Raw genomic sequence first — 14100 nt, forward strand, 5'->3', positions numbered from 1 at the left:
TGTGAATGTCACACAGAATCAATGTCAGAGTTTTAATGTTAAATATAACAAAACAAAGTATCCAAACATTAGTCTAGACAAATAATTCCAAATGATAATCAACTCCCTGGAATAAAATGTAGAGTTGATTGCTGCTGGAATGAGCAGAGCAAGCAGGGGAGCATTCTTAAGGAATGAGTTCTAGACAATGGTCTTCTATTGTACTAGATCACGCCCTCCTTGATTAAGCAAAATTATAACTCTAATCTGAGCATGCCATTCTCCGGACTAATAGCTCAAAATTACATACAAGATTATCTGGCTACTGTAGCCTACTTTGTACCATTCTCTATGCCCTCGCCCAGGGAAGCAGCACAAATGGTCAATTTATTCAATAAGTCACTGACCAAAAATTATTTCTCTTAACTCCACTAAAGTAACAGCAACCTGCAATACATGAGGTGGTCTCTGTGTTAAAGGCATTTCTTTATTTTTTCTTTCCTTTTTTTTTTTGGCACAGGGTCTTGCTCTATTAACCCAGGCTAGAGTGCAGTGGCATGATCACAGCTCACTGTAGCCATGACTGCCCAGGCTCAAGTGATCCTCCCCACTTCAGCTTCCCAAGTAGCTGGGACTACAGGTGTGCACCAGAATCCCTGGCTAAATTTTTTGTTGTTGTTTTTTGTAGAGACAGGATCTCGCTATATTGCCCAGGCTGATCTCGAGCTCCTGGCCTTAAGCAATCCTCCCACCTTGGCCACCCAAAGTACTGGGATTACAGGCAGGAGCCAATGCACTCAGCTCAGTTTTTTTTTTTTTTTTGGGGGGGGGGTTCCAGCGGTATATTTTATTTCTTTAGAACATCGGTTGCAAAGCTGTTTAGATCTTTCAAAAACATCAACTCTTCTTTTTGACGACAAAATGGTGAATAAATTCAGAACTACAGTTTGTGAAGACACATGACATTTATGATTCATGAAATAGAAATCATGTACTGCTAAAATAAAGTTTCAACTGAGAAATGCAGATTTAATTAAAACTGCACTCTATTCAGTGTTTGAATCCCTACTACGAAAATCAACTGTACAATGATTACTGAATAATCATCTCAAATATAACTTCGGGTGCTGTTTAATGTCACCTTACAGCAGAGTTCTTAGACTCAGGTGTGCATGGGTACAATATCAGAAATTTGTTCAAACTGTAGAAACCCTGAGGCCTGGTGAAACACAGCCTTAGAGTTCTGGAAGGTCACTGAAAAACCATCACTTCTCCTCATGCCAAGGAATGAAGGACTAATGCATAGAACATAAAGGTACATAAAAATGTACATGTCTTTGTTGTGTTATCAACACAGTTATTGCATTTGAACTCTATGCATTCAAACCTTAGACTCAATTACAAAGTGACTCTAAGCATTTCATAATTTTCTAAAAATGTTGATAGTGCAGGCATGTCTACTATTTTTAACTCAGAAGGGAGTTCCATGGAGTTTAGCCCAGTATTTTGGAGCTAGAAGAGAGAATCAGTCATTGAGTCCAAAACTCTACAGGTCAGAAAATGAAGGAGAGAGGGGTCACCTGTGCTCCTTTGGTCAAAGACTTCAGTTGAAGGGTCAGAGAGAATCCAGGCCATCTCCTGACTCGGGATTCTTCCAAGTTAGCAAATACATGATGTTTTCATTACTCAGGGAAAGTGTATAGAACTACTTTCAAAAATATTTTAGGGACAATACACTAGAAGTGTTATCAAGAGATAAATCGCTTTGTAGTTAAAAAGTGAAAACTACAGCCTAAATGAAAGGAAGGGAGAATAAAAGGAAAATCGTATTTTTTTTCAGCTGTCATTATACAAGAGATGTTGCCCCCATTTACCAATGAAAAGACACTGAGGGCCACAGTGTCCCTCTGAGACCCACTTTCCAGGGTCACATAGCTGAAATATGTGGCCAAAACAGTATCTTTCCCAAGGCTTACAACTGTAGGCCCTTGTACTACACTGTGCTATACCTGGTAGGAAAGAATATAGATACACAAACTAAAAAACATCACTTATTTTAAAACTCTTGTTATTTCATGAAATGGCAGACCATAATGATTTGGTGTGGACATTAAACAAAAAGAGTTTATACGCCTCATTAAGACAATTTTCTGGAGCTTTGAATCCATGGTTTATACATAATTGTTCAGTATATTTTGTTTAGCCACAAAATCACAATTGTTAAATCTTTAATTACTGAAATATGAAGTTATGCAATTTATTTTTGAAATCTGTGTATGCTACTCACCAGATTTTTGTTCTTTAAAAAATATTTTGTTTTGCAATTTTCCAAATACAGTAGCCTCACAGTGCATATAGCAATCGTAAGACTTTATCAACCTCTGGTTTCCGAACTCACATCCAACATTCATCACTTTCCTCTATTGAAATTATTCCCCACTAGTGGAGTATTTCTTTTCTTTCTAGTGCAATGACATGCTACAGCACACCATCTTATTGTTTGTGAAATCAATATTTAAGTTGATTCAGGAAAAGTGTATGGAACTAATTTCAAACATCTTTTAGGGACAATTCACTAGAATTGCCCCTAAAACCAGTTATAAGATAAAACCAGGAATTGGATAACAATGATGGACAATATTGTCATTGTCATCCAAATCTTGGTTTTATCTTGTAACTTAATTCAGAATGTTATTTGATGCCTACTTAATGGCTAGTGTTGCTATGTTTCTTAAATACTCACATTGTTTTTCTAATGGTAATACCATAAATCTAAGCCTGGATCTTTCTTTTTACAACTGATAAAAAGTGCATTATGATATTTTAACTGCTATTTACCTTCCTCAGAGAACTGCTGATTCTTCTATGCTGCATAAATATTTATTATTTTAAGGTAATTTGTAATCTAATATTTTGAAGATTCCAAATACATATTTGAAAATACTATTTTCCTGGATTCTAAGTTGCAATAGGTTGAATTAACTTAAAGAAAACAACTTTCCATATGCAATAAGCTATTTATCTGATTACCAACACCTATACAAGGGAAAAATAGCGTTAACTGAAAAAATTATTTTTACTAATGGTTTTTTTTTTTTTTTTTTTTTGAGATGGGGTCTCACTCTGTTTCCCAGGCTGGAGTGCAGTGGCGCGGTCTCGGCTCACTACAACCTCCGCCTCCCAGGTTCACACCATTCTCCTGCCTCAGCCTTCCTAGTAGCTGGGACTACAGGCGCCTGCCACCACGCCTGGCTAATTTTTTGTATTTTTAGTAGAGACGAGGTTTCACCATGTTAGCCAGGATGGTCTCGATCTCTTGACCTCGTGATCTGCCCGCCTCGGCCTTCCAAAGTGCTGGGATTACAGGCGTGAGCCACCGTGCCTGGCCACTAATGGCTGTTCTTTAAATGCTTTTTTGTATGTTGACTTCAATAGGGGTTTGTTTGAAATTGTGCAGTTTCACATGTCAGATACAATAAAGCAGCTTCAGCAAAAAGATTCAACCAAAGAGAAGCTACAAGTCCCTCAACTTGCCCACATTCACATTCCCACATTTCCAATTTGTTCCTCCTGCTTCAGTCAGTACCTAGCCTTGGCACGGCTGCTTCCTCTTCTCTATTTTTTTTTTTTTTTTTTGAGACGGAGTCTCACTCTGTCGCCCAGGCTGGAGTCCAGTGACATGATCTCGGTTCACTGCAACCTCCACCTCCCGGGTTCAAGCGATTCTCCTGCCTCAGCCTCCCGAGCAGCTGGGAATACAGGCGCCCGCCATTACGCCTGGCTAATTCTTTGTATTTTTAGTAGAGACGGGGTTTCACTATGTTGGCCAGGCTGGTCTCGAACTCCTGACCTCACGATTCGCCTTCTTCCGCCTCCCAAAGTGCTGAGATTACAGGCATGAGCCACCGTGCCAGGCCCTCTCTCTTCTATTTAAAAGGATAGGCACAGCCTTTGGAACTGAATGTCTTTCCTCAGGCCTCACAATAGAAAATGAGGAAAGTTCATTGTGACAACTGGCTGCCTTAAGAAACAGAATTTGGGATTCTTTCCCTTCCAGCTCCTGTTGAGTCAAAGGCAAAGGCAATAACCCAATAAATGTGGTGAGACAATAAACGGAAACTGACATAAACATAGCAATAAAAGCCTACTTCCTTCTTGACAATCAATACATAATGGAATGGGTATGATTTCACACCATAAAAGATCAGAGAATAACAGAATTTGGGCTGAAGAAAGCTTAGAAAGAAGCCACAACATTTTCCATACCTTTTGATTTTCAAAACGATATCTTAAGATTTGTCCAGAGTATTTTTCAATTGTTTCAGTGAGGCTCAGTTTGACCACATGTAACCAAAATAGAGAATTTCATGGAGGATGGTCACAGGATTGGCTTAGAAATGTAATCCTGTGAGCTGTCCCGTTTTATAAAGGATAAGGTTCGGATGGCTGCACCGAATGTTCCTCCTTTCAACGAGGCTGGGCCGAGTTGGGCTCCCAGCGGCTAGGGCATTTTTAGTCCATCTTGGTCTCTCACCTCTGCCTCCTGCTTAGCTGTCAGAATGCCAGGTGGCTGTGCAGCCCAAAGCAGCCCACTCCGTTTTAAACTTGCTCAGTTTGCAATCAGGTAACCCGCTACTGACAACAGAACCCTCAAGGCCTGTTTATATGCGGTTCTCAGGTTTAGGTCTAGGGAAGTTTCCAGGAAGCTTAGTGTTCAGGGAGGAATTCGTTTTGCTTTTGCTAATCAAAGAGACACAAAAGCACAGCTGAGTCCCGAAGCTGGCACACGGGAAATGGAGTACAACTGTCCCCTCACCAGAGCATGCAAAAATCATTTGGGGAGCGGGGAAAAGGTCCCCACCTTCCCCGAGCCTGGGGCACCCTTCATGCCACGGCCCCAGCCAGTGGTGGTCTCGACACCATGCTCAGTGCAGTGTCACACGCCAGAGCTGGAAAGGGGAGGTCCAGGCCCAAGTAAAGTGACAGAGTAAGGACACGGTGGTGGCCAAGGGCTGTCCCCTAACCCCAGTTCCGAAAGACAGTGTGGAAGTCCGTCAGCGTGGCAGCCCTTGAAGCGCTCTGCTGGTCTGGCTGCGGTCCCTCCCCTGTGCACCCCCACCTGCTGTGAAGCTCCCCAAGCTCCTTCTTGCCCAAATGCTTTGGAAACTGCCAAAGGACACTCAGAGGCCAGGGAATGTGACAGGCAAGCATAAATATGCAGAAGAGATGGCACCAACATAGCAGGCACGCAGGGCCGGCGCTCGTAGGGGTCGGGGATCTGGAGCCAGGCCTCCTACGCGGCGGCTGCGCCAGCGGTGCCAAGACCGACAGGCGGCATCGATGCACACCGGGCACCGAGTCTGCAAAAGGGGCCCTGAGCGGACTGCCGGACATCTCGCAGACTTCGGGCAGCGATCGTGGCGGCCGCCTCCCCGGGGCTCCACGGCCGACCTGCCGCCTGCCGCGGCCATCCCCGGCCCACTCCTGCCAGGCCCCCGACCGGAGCCCCGGAGGCACCCGCTCTGAGCGGCCGCGCAGCCCGGCTGCATGGAGCCCAGCGCGGTGCTCCGGCTGGCCAAGCCAGACACGGCGCAGGAAACCGCCACCCACCAAGGCAAGGGCAGGAAGAAGATGGCGGCGGCTGTGGCGGCCGCGACAGCGGTGGCCTCAGCTCAATATTTTTTTCTCAAAGGCATATCATAGTTTTAGCTTTGCTGCAGCCATTTCATCCATAATCATTTGCTGTGGCTGGGTAAAGTGATACACACATACTGGTTTAGAGAAATACATGCGCACACTGGTTTAGAGAAATACAAAACGCAATGCCTAGACCTGAAATGTATTTATTTAGATTTGTTAGATGGTGCAGTCAAGTAAATATTTGTGTTATGCTTTAAGCTTTTAAGAAATCTCTTGTATCTAAGATATAAGACACATATGTAAATGACATCCAACTAAGCTGGATCAGGCCAATGTACTGAAAAAGGGCTACCATATGTTGCTACAGGGCCTCACCTGTTGGCCAGGCTGGTCTCCAACTCCTGAGCTCATGTGATCCACCCACCATGGCCTTCCAAATTGCTGGGATTACAGGTGTTAGCCACCACGCCCGGTCTAAATTCTCAACATAAATAATAAAAGCCAGAAGATAATTTGACAGCGCTGAAAGGTTCTAAAGTATGATGGCTTAAAAAAAAAAAAAAAAAAGCTGAAAGAAGAAACCTGCCCACCTAGCATCCAGTGCTCAGTAGCTGTTTCCTTTAAAAACTGATGGCAAAGGTCTGGCGCAGTGGCTCACATCTGTAATCCCATCACTTTGGGAGCCCCAGGTGAACAGATCACGAGGTCAGGAGATTGAGACCAAACTGGTTAACATGGTGAAACCCTGTGTCTACTAAAAATACAAAAAATTAGCCGGGCATGGTGGCACGCGCATGTAATCCTAGCTACACGGAGGCTGAGGCAGGAGAACCACTTGAAACCAGGAGGCGGAGGTTGCAGTGAGCTGAGCTCGTGCCACTGCACTCCAGCCTGGGAAACAGAGTTAGACTCCATCTCAAAGAAAAGAAAAGAAAAAAAGAAAAACATAGCCCAGCGCAGTGGCTCACGCCTGCAATCCCAGCACTTTGGGAGGCAGAAGAGGGTGGAAATGAGGTCAGGAGTTCGACCAACCTGGCCAACATAGTGAAACCCCAACTCCACTAAAAAGACAAAAATTAGATGGGCTTGGTGGCGCACGCTTGTAGTCCCAGCTACTCGGGAGGCTAAGGCAGGAGCATCACTTGAACCCAGGAGGTGGAGGTTGCAGCGAGCCAAGACTGCGCCACGGCATACCAGCCCAGGTGACAGCGAGAGACTCCGTCTCAAAAAAAAAAAAAAAAAAAAAAAAAAAAAAGATGGCAAAATAGACATTTTCAGATGAGAAAAAAAAAATTGTTATGGGAAGACATCCACTGGAAGAAATACCAGGGGGAGCTCTTCAAACTGAACGGAAAATTACCCTACCCCAACTGAAACACAGAGATGCAGAGGGAGCCTGGCCCAAAATACAACTTTTATATCCACTGGGTAACACAAAAATTTGTGTGACTCACTTTATTGCAGTGATGTGGAACCAAACCCGTAACATCTCCAAAGTATGCCTGTAATATTTTACAGCAGCCCTAGGGAAAAAAACATACCATCCAATAAGAATTGTTGTAAACTCTACAAATAATTAGAAGAAATGAGTTTTCCACAAATTTACATCGAACTCTGGGTTCACAGCATCATTCCTTCTTTACAAATAGGGCAATCGTACATCCCAGTTAGCAAGCAACAGTCCTGGCCTATAAAAGCACCCCCCTTGATTCTCAAAAGTGACCTCCTTTGGATAATAAGTTGCATGGTCATCCTATGTATGAACCCATTTAGAATACCTTTCTGTCTGTTCACCTTCAAATCCTACCCTGTTCAAGGATCAAGTGACATCTGACTCCATCTTCCCCACTCACAGGATAATTTTCTCTCCAGTTCCTGTAGCTTTTTATAAATACAGCCATTATAATACTCATGTCCTATTACAATTACTTGCTTACATGTCCACCCCATGCTCTTAGCCACTTAGCACAGTGCCAGGAACTGAGCAGGTACTCAACAGATGTTTTCTAGGTTTCTCAAACGATTAATCAGAAGACTGACAAAGTACCTGCAGAGACAGTGTTCTCTCACTTTTGTCCCTTCCACACTCTCCAGGGCCCAGTGAAGGTGGGAGTAAAAAATTAGCGAACAACTAACTTGACAAGCAGTAGTTCTCAGACTTGAATGCACATCAATATCACTTGGAAGACTAGTTAAAACACAGAGTACTGGGTCCCACCCCAGAGTTTCTGATTCAGCTGGCCTGGGATAGGGCCTGAGAATTCAAATTTAACAAGTTTCCAGGTGATACTGCTAGGAACTACCTTTGAGAACCACTGCTATAAAGAAAACACCATAATTATGAAAATGCCCATTTCTTCTCATGACTTTATTCCTAATGGGAGACTCCCTTTTCTGAATATGAGGGAATATCATCCCATGACAGAAAAAGATCATCCCATGGCAGAAGGCAGAAGGACAAGAGAGTGCGAGAAAGCAAGAGGGCAACAGGGGCTGAACTCTCTTTTACAATAAGCCCACTCTTGTGATTACTAATCTATTACCAAAATAACAACATTAATTCATTAATGAGGGCTCTCTTATTAGGCCCCACATTCCAACTGTTGCATTGAGGATTGAGTTTCCAGCACATAAACTTTAGGGGACACATTTAAACTACAGCAGAGCTTTTATGTAAATTCAACCAACAGGAGATGGGAAAATCAAAGGCATGAGAAAGACAGCAAGGGTGAGCAGAGAAGTATGTGCAGGTTAAGGGAGAAAGTCACAATGAATCCTCTAGTGCAGACTACTTTATCAAAAGCACCTAAAAAAGATCTCATTAACTCCCCGAACTCACCTCCACCCACATCTAAAGAGCCACACACAGCATCACCAAAGGCAGCACAATGAGAACAGCGTTCTCCTCAACAGATAGGCTGTGAGTATCCAGACAGACACCCGACCTCAACAGCTCCAGAACAGCCCCAAGACAGCTCCTCCCTAACCACCACTCAAGTAACCAGCTGGAAAAGTATTCAGAAAACCCGCATCCTGACACACCACTACCAAACAACTTAAACAGCAAAGAACAACCCATTTAAACAGCAATGCCAGCTGCCAGGAAAAGCAGGGACAATAAGTAGAGGAAAAGCAGACTCCTTGGGGTCCGCCAAGACACAGTCTCTCAGCATCAGCACTTTCAAATGTAGAATCCACACACCCCTGGGGCCTGCGGAGCTCCACAAGGCATGCTGTCCTCAAAGATAAATGAGCAGGCAAACTGGACAGAAAACCACTCAGGGTATTACTCTTTAAAATATCTTTACAGGGTCAAAGACAAATGGGTCTACAGGCTATGTGTATTCCCAACAGATTCTGAGAATGATGTCACTATCCCTTTCAAGATGTGTTTAACATATCTTGTGTTAAACAAGATGTGGACACTTGTATTCCTGCCACTGAACACCACTGCTTTGCTAATTTGAACTGATTCCAGCTAACACTACCCCAGCTCCCTGGATCTGGTTACCATTAGCCAAGATTGTCATCCATATTGTAACCTTTTAAAGAGTCCTAAAAACTACTCTTCCAAGACAAGTAAAAATATCTGCCAAAGAAATGAAGAAAAAAGATTCAGAGAGAGAATAGAATTAACATACTACCAAGAGAGCAAAAAGTGAAGGAAGAGGAAAAACTAGGAAAATCATATGTGGACTCACACCTATTTCCAAAGTGGGCTAATATCCTTTTGCTTGTGTCTAAATGAGGTACCAATTTTAAACTGCTACTGAAAAAAAAAAAAAAGAGAGAGAGAGAGAGAAAGAAGCAGGCCCAGGCCCAGGCCCAAGCCCAGGCCCAGTGGCTCACACCTGTAATCTCAGCACTTTGGGAGGCCAAGGCAGGTGGATCACCCAAGGTCAGGAGTTAAAGACCAGCTTGTCCAACACAGTGAAACCCCATCTCTACTAAAAATTTAAAAAAACTAGCCAGACGTGGTGGTGCATGCCTATAATCTCAGCTATTTGGGAAGCTGAGGCAGGAGAATCATTTGAACCCGGTAGGCGGAGGTTGCAGTGAGCCGAGACAGTGCCACTGCACTCCAGCCTGGGCACCAAGAATGAAACCCCATTTCAAAAAAAAAAGAAGCAGGCCCAAATCGTAAAGTAAAACTTTTAGCATAGAAAATAAGAATTGGTGAGAATTCCATTCCCTGGTTACTTACCCCATAGGCTGAAGAGCTGCCTCTGCATCTAAGGATCAGGGCATTCTGTGTTCGATGGCAGAATCCAAGTCAGAATGCAGCACAATCCCTGAAAAGTGAGAACACCAGGGTGAGTTATCCTGACCTTGAGATTGCTTCTCTAGCTCTTTCATTTAAAAAAAATATAAGAACCAAGAAGGAGATCCCCTCTTGCCACCTCAGTTATTTGAACTCAGCTACTCAAGTTCTATTTTGTCAAGATCAAGGGCTCCCGTGAGTGACTGTGAGGGAAATCTGATCACTCAGAGGGCTAAAGGTAACCTTATGAAACATGAAGATGTGAAAGGAGAACGTAGCTGCTGCTCAGAAACTCCACTAGCCCATCTTGAAAAGAAATCATCTACAAACAGCGTAATTCCCTGTTTCCAATTCTAGTTTTGTTGGGTGTCCCTAAACTTTTCTGCCTTTTTGTTTTTTTTTTTTTTTGGAGACAGTCTTGCTCTATCCCCCAGGCTAGAGTGTAATGGTGCAATCTCGGCTCACTGCAACCTCCGCCTCCTGGGTTCAAGCGATTCTCATGCCTCAGCCTCCCAAGTAGTTGGGATTACAGGTACACACCATCACACCCAGCTGATTTTTGTATTTTTAGTAGAAATGGGGTTTCACCATATTGGCCAGGCTGCTCTTGAACTTCTGACCTCAGGTGATCTGCCTGCCTCAGCTGCCCAAAGTGCTGGGATTACAGGCGTGAGCCTCCGTCCCCAGCCTTCTGCTCATTCTTATTTCGCCCACCTAATGTAAGAAAACTAAGCTAAAATACATTTTGTAACCAAACCAAAAGGAAGCTCTCTAGGAGGTATGGCTACTATACTCAGGAGACTTGAACTTTCCTTGACCCAAAAATGGCTATCTGGAAGTCAGCATCCTCAGAGTACATTAATGCCGGGTGCGGTGACTCACACCTGTAATCCAGCACTTTGGGAGGCTCAGGCAGAAGGATCACCTGAGCGAAGGAGTTTGAGACCAGCCTGGCCAAAACACAAAATACAAAATTTGGCCAGGCATGGTGGTGCGCGCCTGTAATCCCAGCTACTCAGGAGGCTGAGGCTGAGGAAGGAGAATTGCTTAAGCCTGGTGGCAGTTAGCCAAGATTGTACCACTGCACTCCAGCCTGGATGACAGAGTGAGACTCTGTATCAAAAAAAGGAAGAAAGAAAAAAAAAGCTTGAGTGATCCCTACACTGCACATGTTCATATTGATAAATCAAGGAGTGCCTGTATCGAGCTTCAGCAAAAGATTTTTTGGGGAGGTGAAGGAAGGAGCAGTTCCATCAAATTAAAAGATTAATTTTTAAAAGCTTAAAGATTAATCTGTGCTTTTAAAAAGGATTTCACAACTATGTTACCTGTTGTATTTGTTCTAGGCTGAGTAACGTCAGTTGTATTATAAGAAGTTCTGATCTGTAAAAACATAGTTGATATTAGTATTATAATAAAGCATTTAGAAGAAATCTATAGGCCTTTCTCACACAGCTGTGCACTGCTAATAATAATAATTATTATTATTATTGAGACTGAGTCTCATTTTGTCACCCAGGCTGGAGTGCAATGGCACAATCTCGACTCCCTGCAACCTCTGTCTCCCAGGTTCAAGCAATTCTCCTGCCTCAGACTCCCGAGTAGCTGGGACCACAAGTGTGCCCCACCACACCCAGCTAATTTTTGTATTTTTAGTAGACACAGGGTTTTGCCATGTTGGCCAGGCTGGTCTCGAACTCCTGACCTCAGGTGATCTACCTGCCTCAGCCTCCCAAAGTGCTGGGATTACAAGCATGAGTCACTGTGCCCAGCCAATTTTTAAACATGGTCCACTCTGCCTTCATTTTACAGTGAAAAAACTCATTCTGGTGACTTGAATTTTGAAAATAGCAATTTTCAGACACTCAGGTGAGACCATCTAGATGTCTCCAAAGTCATCTTTTTTATAAGATAAATATGCAAAAGTCACTTTTCCCCCAAACCAGCTCAATTCTGTTTCTGAATCTTGGATGAACTGTCCCACAACACAGCCAGAAGCAGCTTGCATCATCTTAAACCTTTCCTCTCCCTTATAACTCAGTCCCAACAAATATACACAGATACACAACCCCAATCAGTAAACAAGACTCTGCCCACTTCAACATTCCTTCCATGAGTAGAGAGAGGCCTTCTGTTCCTACCCCCCACACTCAAACTACCCACTGTGTTATCCTTCAAAATCAACCCAGAATAATCTTTCTAAAGGACAGATCCACATTATTTTAAGAGAGAAGTGCTATGAGACCATTTAATGACTACCACTGCTTTTGTAGGATCTAAGGCCTTCCTCCACTTGGCCACCCAAGTCTATCTATGCAATCCTACAATGCCCACATGGCACTCCTCACTCCACACAGAATAGGTGAGGTATGTGAACATGTGAGCATACCTGACACCTCCCTGCCTTTACTCATATTTGAAACACGTTCCCTCCCTTCTGGATGCACAAGTGACTGATTGGGGTGTGCCACCTACCTCCTGAAGCTGGTTTATCAAGTTGTAAATCTTCATGTGTTGAATTCATAAGATCATGTCTGAAAGGTGAGAATAAATAATATTCACTAGGCAATATTCAGCAAATATCCGCTAGTATTTATTTAACATTTAATCACATTTAACATTTCATCACCAAGGGTGGTTTTGAAAAGAAAAGACAGGCTGGGCATGGTGGCTCACGCCTGTAATCCCAGCACTTTGGAAGGTAGAGGCTGGCAGATCACAAGGTCAGGAGTTCAAGACCAGCCTGGCCAACATGGTGAAACCTCATCTCTACTAAAAATACAAAACTTAGCCAGCCATGGTGGCAGGTGCCTGTAATCCCAGCTACTTGGGAGGCTGAGACAGGAGAATCGCCTGAACCCAGGAGACAGAGGTTGCAGTGTGTCAAGACCATGCCACTGCACTACATCCTGGGTGACAGAGCAAGACTCCAAATCGGGGAAAAAAAAAAATTAAGAAAAGAAAAGACAATCTGGATGCTTGAGCACCACTAAATCTTCATTTGAGGTTTCTACAAAGTAACAAAACAAAGTAATAATTGCAAATTGTCTCATAACGTGCTTCACAGAGCATGTGTCCTCAAAAGTAAAGTGGTAACTTTGCAACCCACAGGTATTTGAAGCACATTACAAAAATCTTAAATGGGATCCTTTAATATCACATTGCATTCAAGACTATCTTCCTCTACACATCTAGAAAAACAATCATATATTCCCACATATGCTTTAAAAATCTCAGGCCTAAAAACAAGACATGGATACTATTCTATTTTTAGCAAAAGTAACAGAAAATTGTGAAAGAAAATGTCAGTTGCACGCCAGTCAGGTGTGGGCAGTGTTCATGTTTCGAAAGGTAACACTGGCATGACTGACTCAATGTTGGACCCAGGTAAATTAAAAAGTGGTACATAAAAATACATAAAACAGGCTGGGCGCAGTGGCTCTCACCTGTAATCCCAGGACTTTGGGAGGCCGAGGCAGGCGGATCACCTGAGATCGCAAGTTAGAGACCAACCTGACCAACATAGAGAAACTCTGTTCCTAATAAAAATACAAAATTAGCCAGGCTTGGAGGCGCACACCTGTAATCCCAGGTACTCAGGAGGCTGAGGCAGGAGAATCTCTTGAACCCGGGAGGCAGAGGTTGCAGTGAGCCAAGATGGCGCCATGGCACTCCAGCCTGGGCAACAAGAGTAAAAACTCCGTCACACAAAAAAAAAAAAAAAAAAAAAAAAATTCCTGTGGGAAGGCCTTCTACATAAAGATCTTCAACATGAGACTGGAAAAAAGGGGTGGACCTTTGGCTTTTACAGCTTGAGCTATAAGGACAAAAGGAAAAAAGGATATCATTTAAACACAATATGTAGAAAAAAATATTGAATCTGTATTGCTCTTTAATTTTTATAATCTGAACTTCACTTGTTTTTGTAATTGAGTCAAAAGAAAAATATTATGAGTAAAATAAAAACACCACCAAAAATGCTAATATTCTGTTTATCAAAGTCTGCAGTGAAATATCCCATTACAGATGAGTGCAGTGACTCACACCTGTAATCCCGGCACTTTAGGAGGCCAAGACGGGTGAATCAACTGAGATCGGGAGTTCGAGACCAGCCTGGCAAACATGGTGAATCCCCATCTCTACTAAAAATACAAAATTTAGTCAGGCAAGGTGGCAGGCACCTGTAACCCCAGCTACACGGGAAGCTGAGGCAGGAGAAT

General features: G+C 43.3%; 1 pseudogene; it reads right to left on the reverse strand.

The window, feature by feature from the left end:
• Positions 1 to 3827: 3827 nt before the first annotated feature.
• Positions 3828 to 6307, reverse strand: LOC107986704 (uncharacterized; annotated as a pseudogene).
• Between the last annotated feature and the right edge of the window lie 7793 nt (positions 6308 to 14100).

The sequence above is a fragment of the Homo sapiens genome, chromosome 7 (genome assembly GCF_000001405.40).
Source record: "Homo sapiens chromosome 7, GRCh38.p14 Primary Assembly".
In the NCBI taxonomy this organism is placed as follows: domain Eukaryota; kingdom Metazoa; phylum Chordata; class Mammalia; order Primates; family Hominidae; genus Homo; species Homo sapiens.